Below are 18,381 nucleotides of genomic sequence, written 5' to 3'. Positions count from 1 at the left end.
AACTATCATGATCTAGAACATTCTATCTCCCTCAAAATTCCCTCATGTCCCTTTGAAGTCAATCCCTTCCTCTCCCCCAAGCAACCTTTGATTTTATTTCCATCCCTACAGTTTTTTCTTTTCTAAAATTTTGTGCAAATGGAATCATGCAGCATGTCATTGGTCTGATGTTAAAGCTTATGCTCTTTACCTAGACGTACTCCCTGTCTTTAAAAACAGAAAATGGCGAAGTAGTTAAAGTGAGCTGAAATTGAACCCATTGCCCAGGGTTGCTCCTTGGCTGTCAGAGGAATCCAGTGTGGCTTCATTCAGACACAAACAGCCTCATTAATAATCAATAAAACAAACTTTGAGCAACAAATATTAATTAAAAATAACTGAGAGAGACCCTCGGGATCCACGAATAAGTGAAACATGTTTCCTAGGGCTTGCTGTTAGTAGGATAGGGAAGGCAAGAGCAGATGAAACTCTAATACATAGAAAGTAAAGGAGGGGGTTACAGGCAAAGCATTTTAAGAGTTCAGTGGAGGAGGAGAGCATTTTAAACTAGGGAATCAGAAAAATCATTTAAAAGAGTGGTATCTTTGATCTTAACCTTGAAAAATGAATATTTTAAAAGGTGATGGTGAGGTAGTATTTTAAGTGGCTCATAAAGTAGTTTTAAGGCAATTTCAAGAAAGGAGTTCCAAAATTATTTTGAGTAAAAACAGTATTCCCTGAACAATTAAATAGTTTTATAAAGTGACTGATTTGAAAGTGTGTGCTATTTCTGATTGCATAAATGAGAGTAATCGTATTTTCAATTGATTCTTTCATTCAACAGCCATGCTCTATTCTTCTGTGAACATACTAGTAATAGCTTGTAATTATGGATCACTTGCACTGTGTTAAATACTTTACATGTATTAATAATCAAAAAAAGTCCTATTTACAGGGAGGAAACAGACCCAGAAAGGTTTAATAACTTGTCCAAGATTATCCAGTTGGTTTGTAGCATACTCAGAATTTGAACAAGGACATAATTTACATCTGTACTATTTCATCAAGCCAAACTAAACAGACAGAGTTTAAAATACGCATTATGTGTTAACTTTGATACTTTCAAAAGTAATTAACTGAAAATTAATGCTTATCTTACTCAACAGATAACATCCTTTTATAGACTTTTTTTTTTTTTTTTTTTGAGACAGGGTCTCATTCTGTTGCCCAGGCTGGAGTGCAGTAGCACCAACATGGCTCACTGTATCCTTGACGTCCTAGGCTTAAGTGATCCTCCCACCTCAGCCTCCTAAGTAGCTGAGACCACAGGCATGCACCACTATGCCCAGCTAATTTTTTTATTTTTATTTTGTAGACACGGGGTTTTGCCGTGTTGCCCAGGCTGGTCTCGAGCTTCCAGGCTGAAGCAATCCTCCCAAAGTGTTAGAATTACAGGCATGAGCCACTGTGCTGGCTGTTTTTGCACTTTTATACTCTACAGCATATATATTGGTCCCATTCATTTTCAGTAGCCAATTTTCACACTCAATATCTCCGTTGGGTAGAAAAAGAATATAAACATCTTATTAGAGACATAAATATAATTTTGCCTTAAATGGGCATTCAATCTGTATGTTTATACATTTGAAATAACAGACAAAAGAATATATGGAAAAGTCTTTGAATTTCCTTAAGCCACATATTTTTAATAAAATCCCTGCATATTTCTAAGAAGGAAATATCAGTTTCAAAAATCAGGGAGCTAAGTCTTACTACAAAGACTTACTGGCTGCTTTGTGTGGAAATTTCTAGTTAGGGAAAATTTAACTTCAGTCATTCTTTAAAATCTTGGAAAAAGAACATAAATGTTTGTTCCTGATTTTGAATAGCAGCGTAAAATGTATCTCATAAGAATAGCCTAGAACTAAGATTTATTTATTTATTCATTCATTCATTCACATTTTAAATTCAAGAAATATATAGGGCATTCTATGTGCATTGTACAATAGTAGAGGATGCAAAGGATACAGAGATATATGAAAAAAGGTGCCCTCCCTTGTACAGTTTACAAGTTAGTTTAGGAAATAAAACATGCTCAATTAACTAGAATGCAAGGCAGTCTATGACACAAGGAAGTCCATTGCAATTCAACTCAACTAACTTCACTCTGCATTTGTTTGTCTATGTTTTTCTAGGCATTGAAAATACACATATGAATAAAAACACTTATTTTCAGCTAGAAAAGGTCTTGGAATAAAGTTGGTCTTTATGAGGAATGATTGTGGAGCATTTAGAGCTTAGGAAGTAAGTTTTTTGCCTTCAGAGGTGTTATTCATGGCCTAGTGTTATTCATGGGTGACTTATTGAAGATACTGAAAATGCGAGTTAAAACATTGATTGATTGGTTGTATTTGACCATTGAATTCCTTCAAATCTTGAGACCCTATGATTTTAAACTTCTGCATGCTTCTTGCAGAGGTAAATAAGTGTTTCAGAAATTCTCAAACCATCATGGGTCAGCAGTTGCCTACTCCAGGTTCACTCCTGTGATAGAGGAGTTGAATTGCTCCGTAGGAAATTCTAATCGTTAGTTTTAAGCATAGACAGTCTAATTAGCCTGGAAAATACTGTTTGTTGTTGTCTTTTTTCTTTTTTTTTTTAAAAAAAAAACCTCATTCAACAAGCATGTTTATGCAAACACAGCATTACTTAAAAACTCTGAGGTGATCACAAAGATTGATAAAAATTCAGTATAGCTATCTTAGCCCTTTTAAAAATGGCTTCCTACAGTTTGTCCAAAATCAGAACTTTCTTCCCCAAAAGATTTGATTCACTTCAGGTAGCATACAGGGTGTTATATTTGACAACAATTCATTGAGTTTATCAAAAGCAAAAGAAAAAATGGAGCTCTATTATAGAAAACAGTATGATGTGGCTACAATGCTAATTTTTTAGAATTGATTTTGAAGTATTGTCCTCGAAGTGAGTCTACTTTCCTATTTTGGTTTAAAGTCTTGAGAGTAATAAGAATAAAGTATTTTCCCTTCCAAAATAGCAATGTAAATTTTCATTTTGTTTATTCCTATAAAATGAATGATAAATGACTAGGTTTTCTAAAATCTGTGAGACAGTGTAAATTTCACTGTTAAATTTTACTTCTTACTCTTTCACCTAAAGGCTTCTGTTATAAATCTTTTTCTCAGAAGACTTTTGTAATGATTCTAAACGCTCACTACATGGATTTTTCATGAGCAGTTTTATCCTGCCATGAGTCTAATGAGCATCTAATATAGCAGATGGTATGAACCTGGAGTCTAGAAGCAGATGAAGGGATTTATTTAAAGTTATAGAAATACATCCCACCAATGTTTGAATGATCTTAATCATGGTCTATGTAGTTAGAACACCAGGATCACTGAATGGCAAAATAGGGTTGGTTTGGTTGCTTACAGACAGAAGTCAGAATGAAAAAAACATTAGAAGAACATGTTTGCTGTTATAAAGTGGGTCTGAAAGTGTGTTGCAATTTAAAACTGATTATCAAAATAGCAGTGTGTAGCAGTGACTAAAACTGTAGATTTAGAGTGAGATTGGCTAAGTTTATATCCAGGCCATACTGCTTACTAGCTTTAACAATTTTCTTGAGACAAGTTTCTTAACCATTTGGTGTTTTAGTTTCCTCATGTTTAAACTGGGGATATTAGCAACTTTAAAGTGGGGATAGCAGGGTTGTTGTAAGGATTGAATGAGTAACACATGTAAAGAACTTTGACCAGTGCCGAGCATAAGAAACTTGTCTAAAGTAAACAATTACTTCTCAAGCCTGTGAGTGAGGTAGGCTTTGTCAAAATCCCTACTTTAAAGATGAGGAAGTTAAGGCACTAAATAATTAAAGATTTTGCCCAAGGCAAACAGCCAGTAAGAGGCAGATTTGAACTGGGATTTGAACCTAGGCATTGTGGCTTGAGATTGTATACAATGACTCCAATATATGTGAGACATTTTGGTTAAAGTTTAGTGGTACTGTCAAGGTTAAGTTTCAGTTTGTTAAAATATTCAATGCTGCATAAGAAAGATGCCTTTAAAATATGACCATTGCTAATAAAAACACAGTTAAGCCTGTTTTTGTTTGTTTGTTTGTTTCTTTTATATATATATATATATATATATATGCTTTTATTATACTTTAAGTTCTAGGCTACATGTGCACAACGTGCAGGTTTGTTACTTATGTATACATGTGCCATGTTGGTGCGCTGCACCCATTAGCTCGTCATTTACATTAGGTATATCTCCTAATGCTATCCTTCCCCCCTCCCCCCCACCCCACAACAGGCCCTGGTGTGTGATGTTCCCCTTCCTGTGTCCAAGTGTTCTCATTGTTCCATTCCTGCAGCCATAAAAAATGTTGAGTTCATGTCCTTTGTAGGGACATAGATGAAGCCTGTTAAGCCTTAACAGGGAAAAGAACAAAAGTTTCCTACAACTAGTAGCTGAACATTACTTCAAGTGATAAAGGGAGAATGTTGTCATAAAGGCTGCATTTAGCTGAAATTTGAACCACTGGGAGAGGATGAGTAGTTTATTATACAGCTCACCCCTTGGGAATATTAATCTAATAAAATTCAATAAATTCCTTCCATTATTTTTCTTGGCCCACTAGAAAGTCAATAAAAGTCAAAGTTAGAGTGACATCAAGTCAGATTCAAGTGAGAGTGGGAATCTTAAGGAAACTGCATTTCACAAATGTGTTTTTGACTTTTCTGGACTGGCCAGTTATATTTATACTGTAATATCTACAAGTGATGGTTTGACATGTTAGCTTCCTGAAGCCACCTGTTTTCTGAAGCAGTGAAGCATGACACAGGACAGTGAAATTGCCATTCTGACACTACAGTATAGTTCAGTTGTTTTGAGCATGAATGCTGGGGTCGGAACAGTTGAGTTTATAATTCAGCTCTGCTATTTTCTTGCTATGTGACCTTGGACAAATTACTTAATGGCTCTGTATTTCATTTTCTTCTTGTACAAAATAGGAATAGTAACAAAACCCACCTCACAGGGATATTGTGAGTATTAAATGAGTTAACATGAGTAATCTTGGATGGATGCCCAACACATAGAATAATGTAAAAGCTAACTATTGTTGCTGGTGGCCCAGAATGGCCTTATTAGTTTGGCTGATGTATCCCCTAGTGGTGAACATATCTATGTTTTAGTCACAGTGTATATGGTAAAGTAAAACCTTAAAACCTCAATTTAAACATTATAAGGCTAATCCAATCTTTTAATGAACAACACTTCGATGTGCTAAGGAAAAAGGAAATATAGCACCATCATATATACATATATATATATATATATATATATATTTTTTTTTTTTTTTTTTTTTTTTTGAGACAAAGTCTTCCTCTGTTGCCCGGGCTGGAGTGCAGTGGCACAATCTCGGCTCACTGCAACCTCTGCTCCCCAGGTTTAAGGAATTCTCTGCTTCAGCCTCCTGAATAGCTGGGATTACAGGCGCATGCCACCACGCCCAGCTAATTTTTTTGTATTTTTAGTAGAGACAAAGTTTCACCATCTTGGCCAGGCTGGTCTTGAACTCCTGACCTCGTGATCCACCCCCGCCCCCCACCCCAGCCTCCCAAAGTGTGGGGATTACAGGCGTGAGCCACTGTGCACGGCCAGCACCATCATATATTTTAAGAACTAACAAAAGAGGAAGCAACAAAGTTTAACTTAACTAGCAGAAAATTCCCAATTTCAAACCTTTCAGGACATCTCCTGAGGTCAGCTAAAGTTTAGCCGCATTTCCAGTTGTTTCTAAATCTATCATATGATGCATTCATCATTGATAAATTCTGACAATACTGCCCATGTGTCCTAGTTTAGTCCTTTCAAACTTCTGAATCTCAATTTTCTCATTCATTAAACCAAAGTACCCTTGGCCTGCCTTACTCACTGGATAGTTGGGAGGGAGGGGAGAGACTGTATCTAAAAGAAGTTCACTCTATCTAAAGTATCAAGATATATTGGGCAAAATACAGTATTATGTTAAGAATGATTCTTAGGTATTACAAGAGCTTCAGGTTTAGAAAAGCAAATTAATTTAGCCCACCACAATAATAAGAACAGAAAATTAGACTAAAATTTTATAAAGGTTTTCATCGATGTTGAAATAAAAAGATGTGCTGATTAAAATAGATTTGTAAGTTCCTGCCAATATTTCATTTACAGAGAATATTACTCTCAGATTTTGTAAGACCATCATCACTCCACTAAAAAATGAATGCTAAAAGCTACTAAGAACTTGAGTTTATACTTCGAATTCCAGGCTTTTATGCAGGCCAGAGAAGAGATGAGTTCTGGGTAGAAAGGCTTTTTGGGACTTTTCACACAATATTAGATGAATGGTCCCCTCCTCTGCCGGTATGTACTGAATTCCTCTTCTCAGGTGTCAGAAAGAGCAGCCACAGCCTGAGTTCCTTCACCTTTCCACAGTCTATCATTGCATTCAAAATGTAAAAGAACTCATTGACCCAGCAATTCCTCCTGTAAGAACTTCTGTGGAAATACTTGCACTAGCATGCACTGGTATATCATATGTGTACTATGCAGCGTTGCTTGCAATACTGATTGCTAAAAATTGGAAACAATCAAAATGTTCATTTATCTGGAGTTATTTAAATAAATGATGACACATTCCATCTAAGGAATGCTTATTCTGTGTATTCAAAGCATTTAAAAATGAAGTAGATTTCCATGTATGGCTATGGAATGGTGTTCAAGACATATTAAGTGAAAACAAAAAGCTCCACTATAGTATGTGCAGTATGATCCCATTCTTGCAAATATAAAGCTTTTTCTTTCTCCTTTTATCCATATGTAAACATGCACACGTATATTTTACAGAGAAAGATGTTTTTGAAAATGTATACCAAATGTTAATAATGGTTTGTTTGGAGAAGTGGGACTTGGGGGAAAGATTAATTTTCTACTTTGTGCATTTCTGGATTGTTTTGATTTCTTTTTTTTGCAACAAGTAAGTGTTACTTTTCAATCAGAAAGAAAATTTAAACACACACACATGAACTAAAAAAATCAAGATAAGTGCTTTAACCTCCCTTTTTAGCACCTGGCTGTTTCTTTCTCACCATTATCCTTAATTTGCCAGGGGAATCAAAGTTCAGCTCTAGACTGTGTGCATAGATTCAAGGTCTAAATGTTCAACTGAGAGGATCTTCTAGATGCGGAATAGCATGGGTGAACATGCCCACCCCCTTCATTCTAGGACAACTTTTATGAATAGTAGTTTATGTAACTGTCTTTATGAGTCACACTAAATTACTGCCAACGCATGCCATTTGTATTATACTTTATCACTCTATTAAGAATCCCTGCACACCTGCTGAGAGTCTGCTTTCAATATTTCATTATTGTACGTGTGTCTCCCCAAATTCAAAATTTTCTTGATCAGTTGGATTTTATATTTTTTAAACTAAAAAGGCTATATTTGTATTCTTTTTCTAAAATTTTCTTTGTAGTAACATGTTCTCTTGGTCCAGATTATTAACTACATTGATCTGTAAATCCCATAAACTGGTTGAATGTCCATTGAAACTGTAACAACTGTTCTACTTAGTAGACCGCTGCCAATATTGGACAGCCATGTGACAACTAAGTGTACCAGCTTCAAAGCTGTACTACCAAATGCAGTCACTATTTACCTTCATCTCTTCCCATTTTAATGCATGTCTGAAATTATTTTCATGATAAATCAATGCCTTTTTGGTTTAGAATCAAAGGATTTTCTGGTATTCAGTGAAACAATAACATGGACTCCTGCTGTTTGTCAGGAATACCTTTTAGAATGTTGTCATTCCCCAGATACCATGATAGCCAATAATATCCCCCATAAGATGCAATAAAGCATCACTAAAGAATTTAAGCAATTTCTTCAAATCTCTAATATATAAATACAATAATACTGAAGTTATGTTTGAATCATTTGAACTTCTTTCCTTCATGGAGGTTTTTATTGTTTTTGTAATATATTTTAGAATCAAACTATTTTATTATTTACTAAAAGTCCCCATGTACAAGAAAACAAGCAAAAACAATGAAACTGGCTTGAGATGTGGATACTTGGCTGACACCTAGGTTTATTCACTATGGAAGAAACTCACTCCCACATTGAAGCCTCATGACACCTTGATGCAAATTTGTAATCTTAGTAAAATTACAAGCTATCATGAGAGTCTAGGGGCATTTATAAATAATCTAACCATGAAGTTTAAATTTGCGCATGTTAAAGTCTATTATATTTAGGGTGAATTAGCCCATCTCTTTGTAGCAACTTCTCACTTTGCAGAAGAAAAGTGAGCCACTATTATATAGCTCCATCCTTGCCAGTTCCTTCAGTCTCCAAGTTACCTTTTCAAACCTTTATGTGCAGCTCAGTAGAAAAGGGTACAGATGAGACAATATGTTTCCTTTGTTTTAGGGTTCATGTTTCTATTGGATTGAACACTGATTTATAGCCTAAACACCTGTCATTTCTAAGCTATGATCTTGATGAGCTCACTTAATCTCTCTCTGGTCCACAGTTCCACATTGCAACATGACCTGTTAAGGGGAGAAAGGTCTGTAAGCCCCTGAGCTTCGGAATTAAATATCTACCTGCTTATTTGATAACTCCAGCTGAATATACTTTGGATATCTCTTAATCACCACAAACATAGTATGTCAAAATATTGATTATTAAAAACATTGTTAATAATTTTTAATTATTTTTAATTTTTCCCATCAAATTTGTTCTTATCTTTACCCACTTTGGCTAGCAGTTCCACTATATATTGAAGCTTTCAGGCCAAAAACCTAGAAGTCCTATCCAAATCCATCTGTTACTGTCAGCTTTACTTCCAAAATACATCTGATCCCTGCTCGTTATCTTCACTTCTCATCATTTCCAATGCTACCATTGTTTTGTTAGCCTTCTCTTTACCCCATTGGTGAGGCAGGCATTGCCATCCTAGGGTTGTGGGGGTGGCCGAACATGACACCTGACACTGGGCAGATGAGAGGGACAGCAGTTTATTAGTCACATATACTCACAGCCCAGGAGACAACACACACCAGGCAGAGCAGAACAAGGAGCAGAGAGAACAAGCAAAGGCTTAGAGGCAAGTTTTATAGTAGAAAGAGGATGAGGTGCACCCTAGTTCTGTCGAAAGGATGTGATTGGCTTGTTTGAATGATTCATGGGTTGGCATATTAATCAAGGTCCTTCAGAGAAACAGAACCAATAGGATGTGTATATTCATAGACATATATGAGAGGATCTTTATTATGGGAATTGGACCACATGATTATAGAGGCTGAGAAAGCCCACAATATGCCATCTGCAAGCTGGAGAACCAGAAAAGCCAGTGGCATAATTCAGTCTGAGCCCAAAGGCCTGAGAACCAGAGGAGCCAATGCTGTAACTCCCAGTCAGAAGCTGAAGGCCTGAGAAGGGATTAGGGGGTGGGGGTGCTGGTATAAGTCCCAGAGTCCCAAAGTCAGAGAACCAGGAGCTCTGATATCTTAGGAGAGGAGAAGATGGATGTACCAGCTCAAAGACAGAAAGCAAGAATTTACCCTTCATCTGTTTTTTTGTTCTATCCAGGCCCTCAAGGGACTGGATGATGCCCACTGACATTGGTGAGGGCAGATCTTCTTTCCCCGGTCTACTGACTCCAATGTTAATCTCTTCTGGAAACAGCTTCACAGACACAGCCAGAAGTGATGTTTGCCCAGCTATCTGGGGATGCCTTAACCCAAAATCAGTCTTCACAGCAGGAAATTAGGCAGCTGACTTGTACTCTAAGGCTCAGAGCAGGATTTCCTCACTATTGACTGCACATCAGAATCACCTGGGAAGCACTGACAAGCAATTGATTCTCAGGCCCACACCAGATAGATTAAGGTAGAATCTCTGGAAATGAAGTCCTGCTGTATTTTAAAGTCTTCCCAGGGTTCTCCCAGAACTGCCAGCAGCTGTAGCAAGAGCTCTAGTACCTGAAGACAGAGCTGAAACTGAAGTCTTGAGTGCAGGACACCGCCCAGGCCCAGGGTGCCCCAGGGGAAGAGGCCTGGAGCAGAGTCAAGAAATTCACATTGAGGGCGGGGTTACTGGTGCCCAGCTACTCTCCTACCACAATCTATTAGTTTCTTAGGGCTGTGTAACAAAGTGCAGTAGACCACTGTATCTGAGGTTTTGCTTTCCACAGTTTCAGTCACCTGCTGTCAACTGCAGTCTGAATTTTATTATCTCACATCATCACGAGAAGGGTGAGTATAGTACAAAAAGATATTTAGAGAGAGACCACAGTCATATAATTTTTATTGCAGTATATTATTTCAATTTTTCTATCTCATTGTTGTTAATCTCTTTCTGTGCCTAATTTATAAATTAAACTTGATCATAGGTATGTATGTATAGGAAATAACATAGTATATATAGGGTTTGGTACTATCTGCTGCTTCAGGCATCCACTGAGGGTGTTGAAACATACCCCCAGTAGATAAAGAAGGACTATTGTACCACAAACTGAGTGGCTTAAACAACAGAAATTATTGACTCCCATGTGGAGGCCAGAAGTCCTAAATAAAATTGTTGTCAGAATTGTTTTTTCTGAAGGCTGTGAGAAAAGAATCTGCTCCAGGCCTCTTGCCAAGCATCTGCTGATTTGCCAGCAATATTTAGTGTTCATTGTTTTGCACCTTTCTGCCTTCGTCTTCACATGGCATTCTCCCTGTGTGTGTTTGTCTCCAAATTTCCCCTTTTTGTAAGGACACTCAACACATTGAATAAAGGGTCCAATGTACATTAGTATGACCTCATTTTAACTACAACTGTAACAACCCAATTTCTGAATAATGTCACATTCCAAGATACTGGGAGTTAGGGCTTCAACATATGTATTTTGGGAGTACACCTAATTCAACCCATAATTCAAAAACATAAAACTAGGCCAAACATATGATGTGACTTCTCAGTCCTAGCCCAGGACTGAGATCCTTGGGAGAGTGGAAGTGCATGAGCTGAGCTCTGGCTCTTAGGTAGGACACTCTCCAGGACTAGGAAGGTGGAAGTGGAGCCAAGTAGAGCACTGTGGTCTCCCTGAACTGAGGAGCCAGAGATGGGCTGCTGAAGCTGCTGGAATTTGCAAGGCAGAGTACAGGAAAGGAGAATCTACAGGGTTGGCTAGGAGAAGGGGACAAAAATCTACCTGGAAGTTTCCTGCAGGTCTTTGCCCAAGAGTAGGGCTGATGTGCACAGGGCTAAACTCTATGAGGCCTAACAGAAGGTGGCCTTTGCAGATCTGAGAGCTGAAAGGAGACACCAGAGAGAGCCCAGTGCTGGGAACACAGGTGTGCTGACTTAGCCAGTGTGTTGAGAGCAGGCAGAGCACCTCTGACAGTCTACTGAGATCTAAGAAAGTCCAAAAATTAGAAGTAAGGGCTATCCCCTTGGACTAAAGACAAAAGTGAAATACATTCACACTAACAAAAATAAATAAATAAATCAAAGTCTGATCAAAAGAATTGATTCATGAGCTGCCTGCCACAACAACACATACCACCAATTGAAGGAAGACAGCCAATCCAGACTCACTATAATGTATTATCCACAACATCCAGCTTATTAGGAAAAATTACTGGATATGCAAGCAAGTAGGTAAAAGTGATCCATAACCAACAGAAAAAAGTGTCAGGCCAGGAATGGTGGCTCATACCTGTAATTTTAGCACTTTGGGAGGCTTAGGCTGGTGAATCACTTGAGGTCTGGAATTTGAGACCAGCCTGGCCAACATGGTGAAACTCTGTCTTTACTAAAAAATACAAAAAAGTTAGCCTAGCATGGTGGTGCATGCCTGTAGTCCCAGTTACTCGGGAGGCTGAAGTTGGAGGACTGCTTGAGTCTGGGAGGTGGAGGTTGCAGTAAGCTGAGATCACACCACTGTACTCCAGCCTAGGTGACCGAGTGAGACTTCGTCTAAAAAAAAACAAAACAAAGAGAGTCAATAAGCCTTGGCTCCTACATCACATTGCACAAAATTATTGCAAAATATTGCAAAATATGTCAAGATGCAAATGTAAAAGTTAAAATTATAAAACATCTGGAAGAAGAGGCAGGAGAATAGCTTCATGACCTTGGGGTTAGACAAGAATGTTTTATAAAGGACACAAGAAGCACTAACTATAAAAGAGAAAAAGTATTAAATTGGACTTTATCAATGTTAAAACCTGCATATCAAAAGACAGTATTCAGAAAACAAAACTGCAAGTCACAGATTGGAATCAAGTATTTTCATTTCATATATCTGACTTTTATGACTAGGATGTATGTTCTATAAGTCAATGAGAATAAGACAAATACCTCAAATGTTTTTTAAAAAATAAAGCAAAGACATCTTCTATACAAGAATTTGTACAATGGCCAATAGGCACATGAAAGGACCAATTAAAACAATAGAACAAATTCACTTGTATTGGAAGTGATTAACATTTTAAAAGAGACTGAAAAAAATATTGGTAAGAATACGAAACAAATATAACCCTTATACCTCATGCATAGGAAGGTAAACTAGTGCAATCCCCCTGAAAAACTGTTTGACAGTTTCTTACACAAACATCCCCATACCTAGTTATTTACCTAAGACAAATGAAAAATTACATTTCCATTAATAGGAGTGATATGGTTTGGATTTGTTCAATAGGAGTGACATGGTTTGGATTTGTGTCCCCACCCAACTCTCATGTCAAATTGTGATTCCCCAGTATTGGAGCAGGGGCCTGGTGGGAGGTAATTGGATCAGGGGGCAGATTTCTCCCTTGCTGTTCTTGTGATAGTGAATGAGTTCTCATGAGATCTGGTTGTTTAAAAGTATGTAGCACCTCCCCCTGCTCTCTCTCCCTCCTGTTCTGGCCATATGAGACATGCCTTCTTCCTCTTTGCCTTCCACCATGATTGCAAGCTTCCTGAAGCCATCATGCTTCCTATATACCTTGCAGAACCCTGAGCCCGTTAAAACTCTTTTCTTTATAAATTACCCAGTCTCAGGTAGTTCTTTATAGAAATGCAAGAACAAACTAAAACAAGGAGAATGGATAAAGAAATCATGGAATATTTATACGATGCACAATAGAAAATTAAAAATAGAGTGAACTGTGTTCCACTTACAACATGGATGAAATTCAACATTGTATTTTATTGTATTTCAAGAAGATTACCTTATGTGTGATTCAAGTTATAGGGAATTTAAGAATAGTCAAAATTAACATGTGATAGCAATCAAGATGGTGGTGGGGAATTGAGGCACAAGGGAGGGGAAGGAGGCACAAGGGAGGGGAAGGAGGCACAAGGGAAATTTCTAAAGTGGTAAACATGGTCTAATCTGGATTAGGTTGTTGGTTTCACAGGTGTAACCTGTCAAAAGTCATCAAATTGTACACTTAAAAATCTGTGAATTTTATGGTGTGTTTATTGGATTTTGATAAAAACATTTCATAATTGAAAAAATTAAAAAGAAGGGAAAATTAAAAAGAAGAGAAAAGAGAGGCCACTATGGCAAAAAGCACAGTAAAAAAAAAATTTGTACCTATCCTCCACTTGGACTGGCTCGTTTGTTATTGATTTAGTTTGCCAGACATGGGTGGGTGGGTTCCAGGCAGAACACGGTGGGATTCTGAGCAGTTTGTTGTAGGCTATGGGAGCTATGGTTACCCACTGGAATTCTGTTGGGGGCTTCAGTGCCATGCAGGCATTGTGAACCACTATGGAGCCTGGCTTTCAGCTGATCCTGGGGAAGTCACAAAAAGTGGTAGCAGAGCTGCTTCCAGATGACATGAGGCTAGGCATTGACTACAGTAGTCTCCAGTGGAAGTCAGTGGTGTGTATATCTGTTATTGGCTTTTTGGTGGGTCTCTCATATTTGTTCAGATTTATGCATTAGGCTAGAAGCTGACTTTTGGGAAAGAAAATGCAGGTTCTGCAAATACTGGCTGCACCAGTTCTGATGAAGCATCCATTTCTTGGCATACTTAGTTCTGATCAAAAGGAATATTTAGATATTGAGTAATTTTTAGAAGATACCAGCCTAGAAAAGGAATCGTAAAAGATACAAAGTCTTGTGGACGCATACATAAAGTTGAAGAGACCAACTCAGTCCTGAAGGAGGAAGTAATTTCTTCTGTAAAAGAAGTAAATAAGGAGAGATCTAAACCCTTAAGACTAGAGGGGATGATGACTGAAATAGTAAGAATGATTCATTTACCAGAAGATGATGTAGGAACCATCACATTGCAAGATTTTCCAAGCACTGCCATGGCTGGGGCTCCCTTCTGTCATTCTCCAGGGGTCTGAAAATAGAACCCTTTTCTTCTATTCAGACTGTGTCTGTTCTCTACCTCCCACTCCAATATGAGGTTCATTCTTGTCCGTGCTTCTAAAAAGCACTTAAGAACCCTCCTCCATAGGCTGGAGTATTTTTGTTCAACGTCACCTTTCAAAAACAAATCTGAGTTTCTTCAAGGCTAATTCAAATTTCAAATGAACCAACTGTTGGACTTCCAGAAATTTTGGACTTAAAAAAAATGGTCTGTCTTCAAAAGAAATTTTAATCTCATTCATTATCATCTTAAGAACTGAAGACACTTGAGAATCCAATTTCAAAATAAAAGCTTGATGAAACTTAGTTCTCAGAATAGTGCTTTGTAAATATTATTTTATATAAACTTTATAAGTGACATTTCTATTTTTTATATTGTATACATATTATGTTTTGTTTAATATGTACTATTTAGCAAAAAGAGACATTGGAAATTCAAAGGCAATTTTGCTTTGTCCAGACCTATATTTATGACAGTTATAAATCAAATAAAAAGTAAGAAAATACTTTTGTTATTAATAAATATTGCTTTGTTAAAGAAAAGAAAAAATTAAATGAACATATCACATATAACTGTGGGGTGCAGCTAAAGTGATATAAAGGAAAATTTATAGCATTTAATTAAATGTTTCTGTTCAAGAATAATACAAATGTTTATATTACATAAGAATAAAGGCTAAAAAGGAAAAAAAAGTTTATTCTTCTTTGCAGCAGCTTTTAACAATCCCAGTTCCTAGGCTACACCCTGGAACATTTAAATCAGAACCTCAAGATATGAGACTAGGCACCCGTATTGTGAAGCTCTCCAGGTGATGGTCATGTGTGGTGAGATTGAGCAATTGCAACAAAAGCCAAAATTGACAAATGGGATGTAATTAAACTAAAGAGCTTCTGCTGAATGTTATGGTACACAGAGCATTATAACATATGTAATTTCACTGGTAAACATGGGTTTACCAATAAAATTATAATAAACAATAATAAACTAATATTACAGCTACTTTGTCTTAATTATCTTATAATAGACCACTCCAACTACAAAATAATATTCCCATATAAATAGAATACACAAAAAGAGTTGTCAACAAAAGCATACTCCCAAATAAATTGACAAACAAGGTGATGGTGTGATACAATAGAAAGAAGATTAAAGTTTTAATCAGGAGATCTATTTATGGATCTATTAATAAATTAGAAAAGATTAAAAAAATTTTCTCTTTAGGTATGGTATTATTATTGTCATTAGTTTTCTTATTTCTAAAACATGGGACTGAACCAAAATGATTTCCAAGGTCCTTTATAGCTCTCAAATTCTTTAATTTTAGAATGTGTAGAAAATTTTAGGGCTAAAAGGATTAAGATTGAATTTTGATGTATTAGGCATTACACCTTATAATATACTTAAATGGAAAGAACAATAACTCATCTCCTAACAGAGGCATCTCTAAATATTTTCTATCTCTTTTTTTATATACATATACTTTAAGTTCTAGGGTACATGTGCCCAACGTGCAGGTTTGTTACATAGGTATACAAGTGCCATGTCAGTTTGCTGCACCCATCAACTCGTCATTTACATTAGATATTTCTCCTAATGCTATCCCTCCCCCAGTCCCCCACCCCCCAACAGGCCCCAGTGTGTGATGTTCCCTGCCCTGTGTCCATGTATTCTCATTGTTCAACTCCCACCTATGAGTGAGAACATGCGGTGTTTGGTTTTCTGTCCTTGTGATAGTTTGCATAGAATGATGGTTTCCAGCTTCATCCATGTCCCTGCAAAGGACATGAACTCATCCTTTTTTATGGTTGCATAGTATTCCATGGTGTATATGTGCCACATTTTCTTAATGCAGCCTATCATTGATAGACATTTGGGTTGGTTCCAAGTCTTTGCTATTGTGAATAGTGCCGCAATAAACATACGTGTGCATGTGTCTTTATCGTAGCATGATTTATAATCCTTTGGGTATATACCCAGTAATGGGATTGCTGGGTCAAATGGTATTTCTAGATCTAGATCCTTGAGGAATCGCCACACTGTCTTCCACAATGGTTGAACTAATTTACATTCCCACCAACAGTGTAAAGTATTCCTATTTCTCTACATCCTCTCCAGCATCTGTTGTTTCCTTTTTCATGATCACTATTCTAACTGGTGTGAGATAGTATCTCATTGTGGTTTTGATTTGCATTTCTTTGATGACCAGTGATGATGAGCATTTTTTCATATGTCTGTTGGCTGCATAAAGTCTTCTTTTGAGAAGTGTCTGTTCATATCTTTTGCCCACTTTTTGATGGTGGTTGTTTTTTTCTTGTAAATTTGTTTAAGTTCTTTGTAGATTCTGGATATTAGCCCTTTGTCAGATGGGGAGATGGCAAAAATTTTCTCCCATTCTGTAGGTTGCTTGTTCACTCTGATGATAGTTTCTTTTGCTGTGTGGAAGCTCTTTAGTTTAATTAGATCCCATTTGTCTATTTTGGCTTTTGATGCCGTTGCTTTTGGTGTTTTAGTCATGAAGTCTTTGCCCATGCCTATGTCCTGAATGGTATTGCCTAGGTTTTTTCCTAGGGTTTTTGTGGTTTTAGGTCTTACATTTAAGTCTTTAATCCATCTTGCGTTAATTTTTGTATACAGTGTAAGGAAGGGATCCAGTTTCAGCTTTCTACATATGGCTAGCCAGTTTTCCCAGCACCATTAAATAGGGAATCCTTTCCCCATTTATTGTTTTTGTCAGGTTTGTCAAAGATCAGATGGTTGTAGATATGTGGTGTTATTTCTGAGGCCTCTGTTCTGTTCCACTGGCCTATATATCTATTGGTGCAAGTACCATACTGTTTTGGTTACTGTAGCCTTGTAGTATAGTTTGAAGTCAGGTAGCATGATGCCTCCAGCTTTATTCTTTTTGCTTAGGATTCTTTTGGCTATGTGGGCTCTTTTTTGGTTCCATATGAACTTTAAAGTAGTTTTTTCCAATTCTGTGAAAAAAGTCAGTGGTAGCTTGATGGGGATGGCATTAAATCTGTAAATTACCTTGGGCAGTATGGCCATTTTCATGATATTGATTCTTCCTATCCATGAGCATGGAAAGTTCTTCCATTTGTTTGTGTCCTCTTTTATTTTGTTGAGCAGTGGTTTGTAGTTCTCCTTGAAGAAGTCTTTCACATCTCTTGTAAGTGGGATTCCTAGGTATTTTATTCTCTTTGTAGTAATTGTGAATGGGAATTCACTCATGATTTTGCTCTGTTTGTCTATTATTGGTGTATAGGAATGCTTGTGATTTTGGCACATTGATTTTTTATCCTGAGACTTTGCTGAAGTTGCTTATCAGCTTAAGGAAATTTTGGGCTAAGACGATGGGGTTTTCTAAATATACAATCATGTCATCTGCAAACAGAGAAATTTGACTTCCTCTTTTCCTACTTGAATACCCTTTCTTTCTCTCTCCTGCCTGATTGCCCTGGCCAGAACTTCCAACACTGTGTTGAATAGGAGTGGTGAGAGAGGGCATCCTTGTCTTGTGCCGATTTTCAAAGGGAGTGCTTCCAGTTTTTGCCCATTCAGTATGATATTGGCTGTGGGTTTGTCATAGATAGCTCATATTATTTTGAGATACATTCCATCAACACCTAGTTTATTGAGAGTTTTTAGCATTAAGTGCTGTTGAATTTTGTTGAAGGCCTTTTCTGCATCAATTGAGATAATCATGTGGTTTTTGTCATTGGTTCTGTTTATGTGATGGATTATGTTTATTGATTTGCGTATGTTGAACCAGCCTTGTATCCCAGGGATGAAGCCCACTTGATCATGGTGGATAAGCTTTTTGATGTGCTGCTGGATTCGGTTTGCCAGTATTTTATTAAGGATTTTCACATTGATGTTCATCAGGGATATTGGCCTAAAATTCTCTTTTTTTTAATTGTGTCTCTGCCAGGCTTTGGTATCAGGATGATGCTGGCCCCATAAAAT

General features: G+C 37.1%; 1 long non-coding RNA gene across 3 annotated transcripts in view; it reads left to right on the top strand.

Moving 5' to 3' along the window:
• LINC03056 (long intergenic non-protein coding RNA 3056) overlaps nucleotides 1–18,381 on the top strand; it is a 90,518-nt gene that overhangs the window by 14,866 nt on the left and 57,271 nt on the right. The gene's annotated exons all lie outside the window — the stretch shown is intronic.

This window comes from Homo sapiens, chromosome 12 (assembly GCF_000001405.40).
Source record: "Homo sapiens chromosome 12, GRCh38.p14 Primary Assembly".
Lineage (NCBI taxonomy): Eukaryota > Metazoa > Chordata > Mammalia > Primates > Hominidae > Homo > Homo sapiens.
The sequence above is the reverse complement of the archived record's forward strand: the minus strand, read 5'-3'. Positions and strand labels throughout refer to the sequence as shown.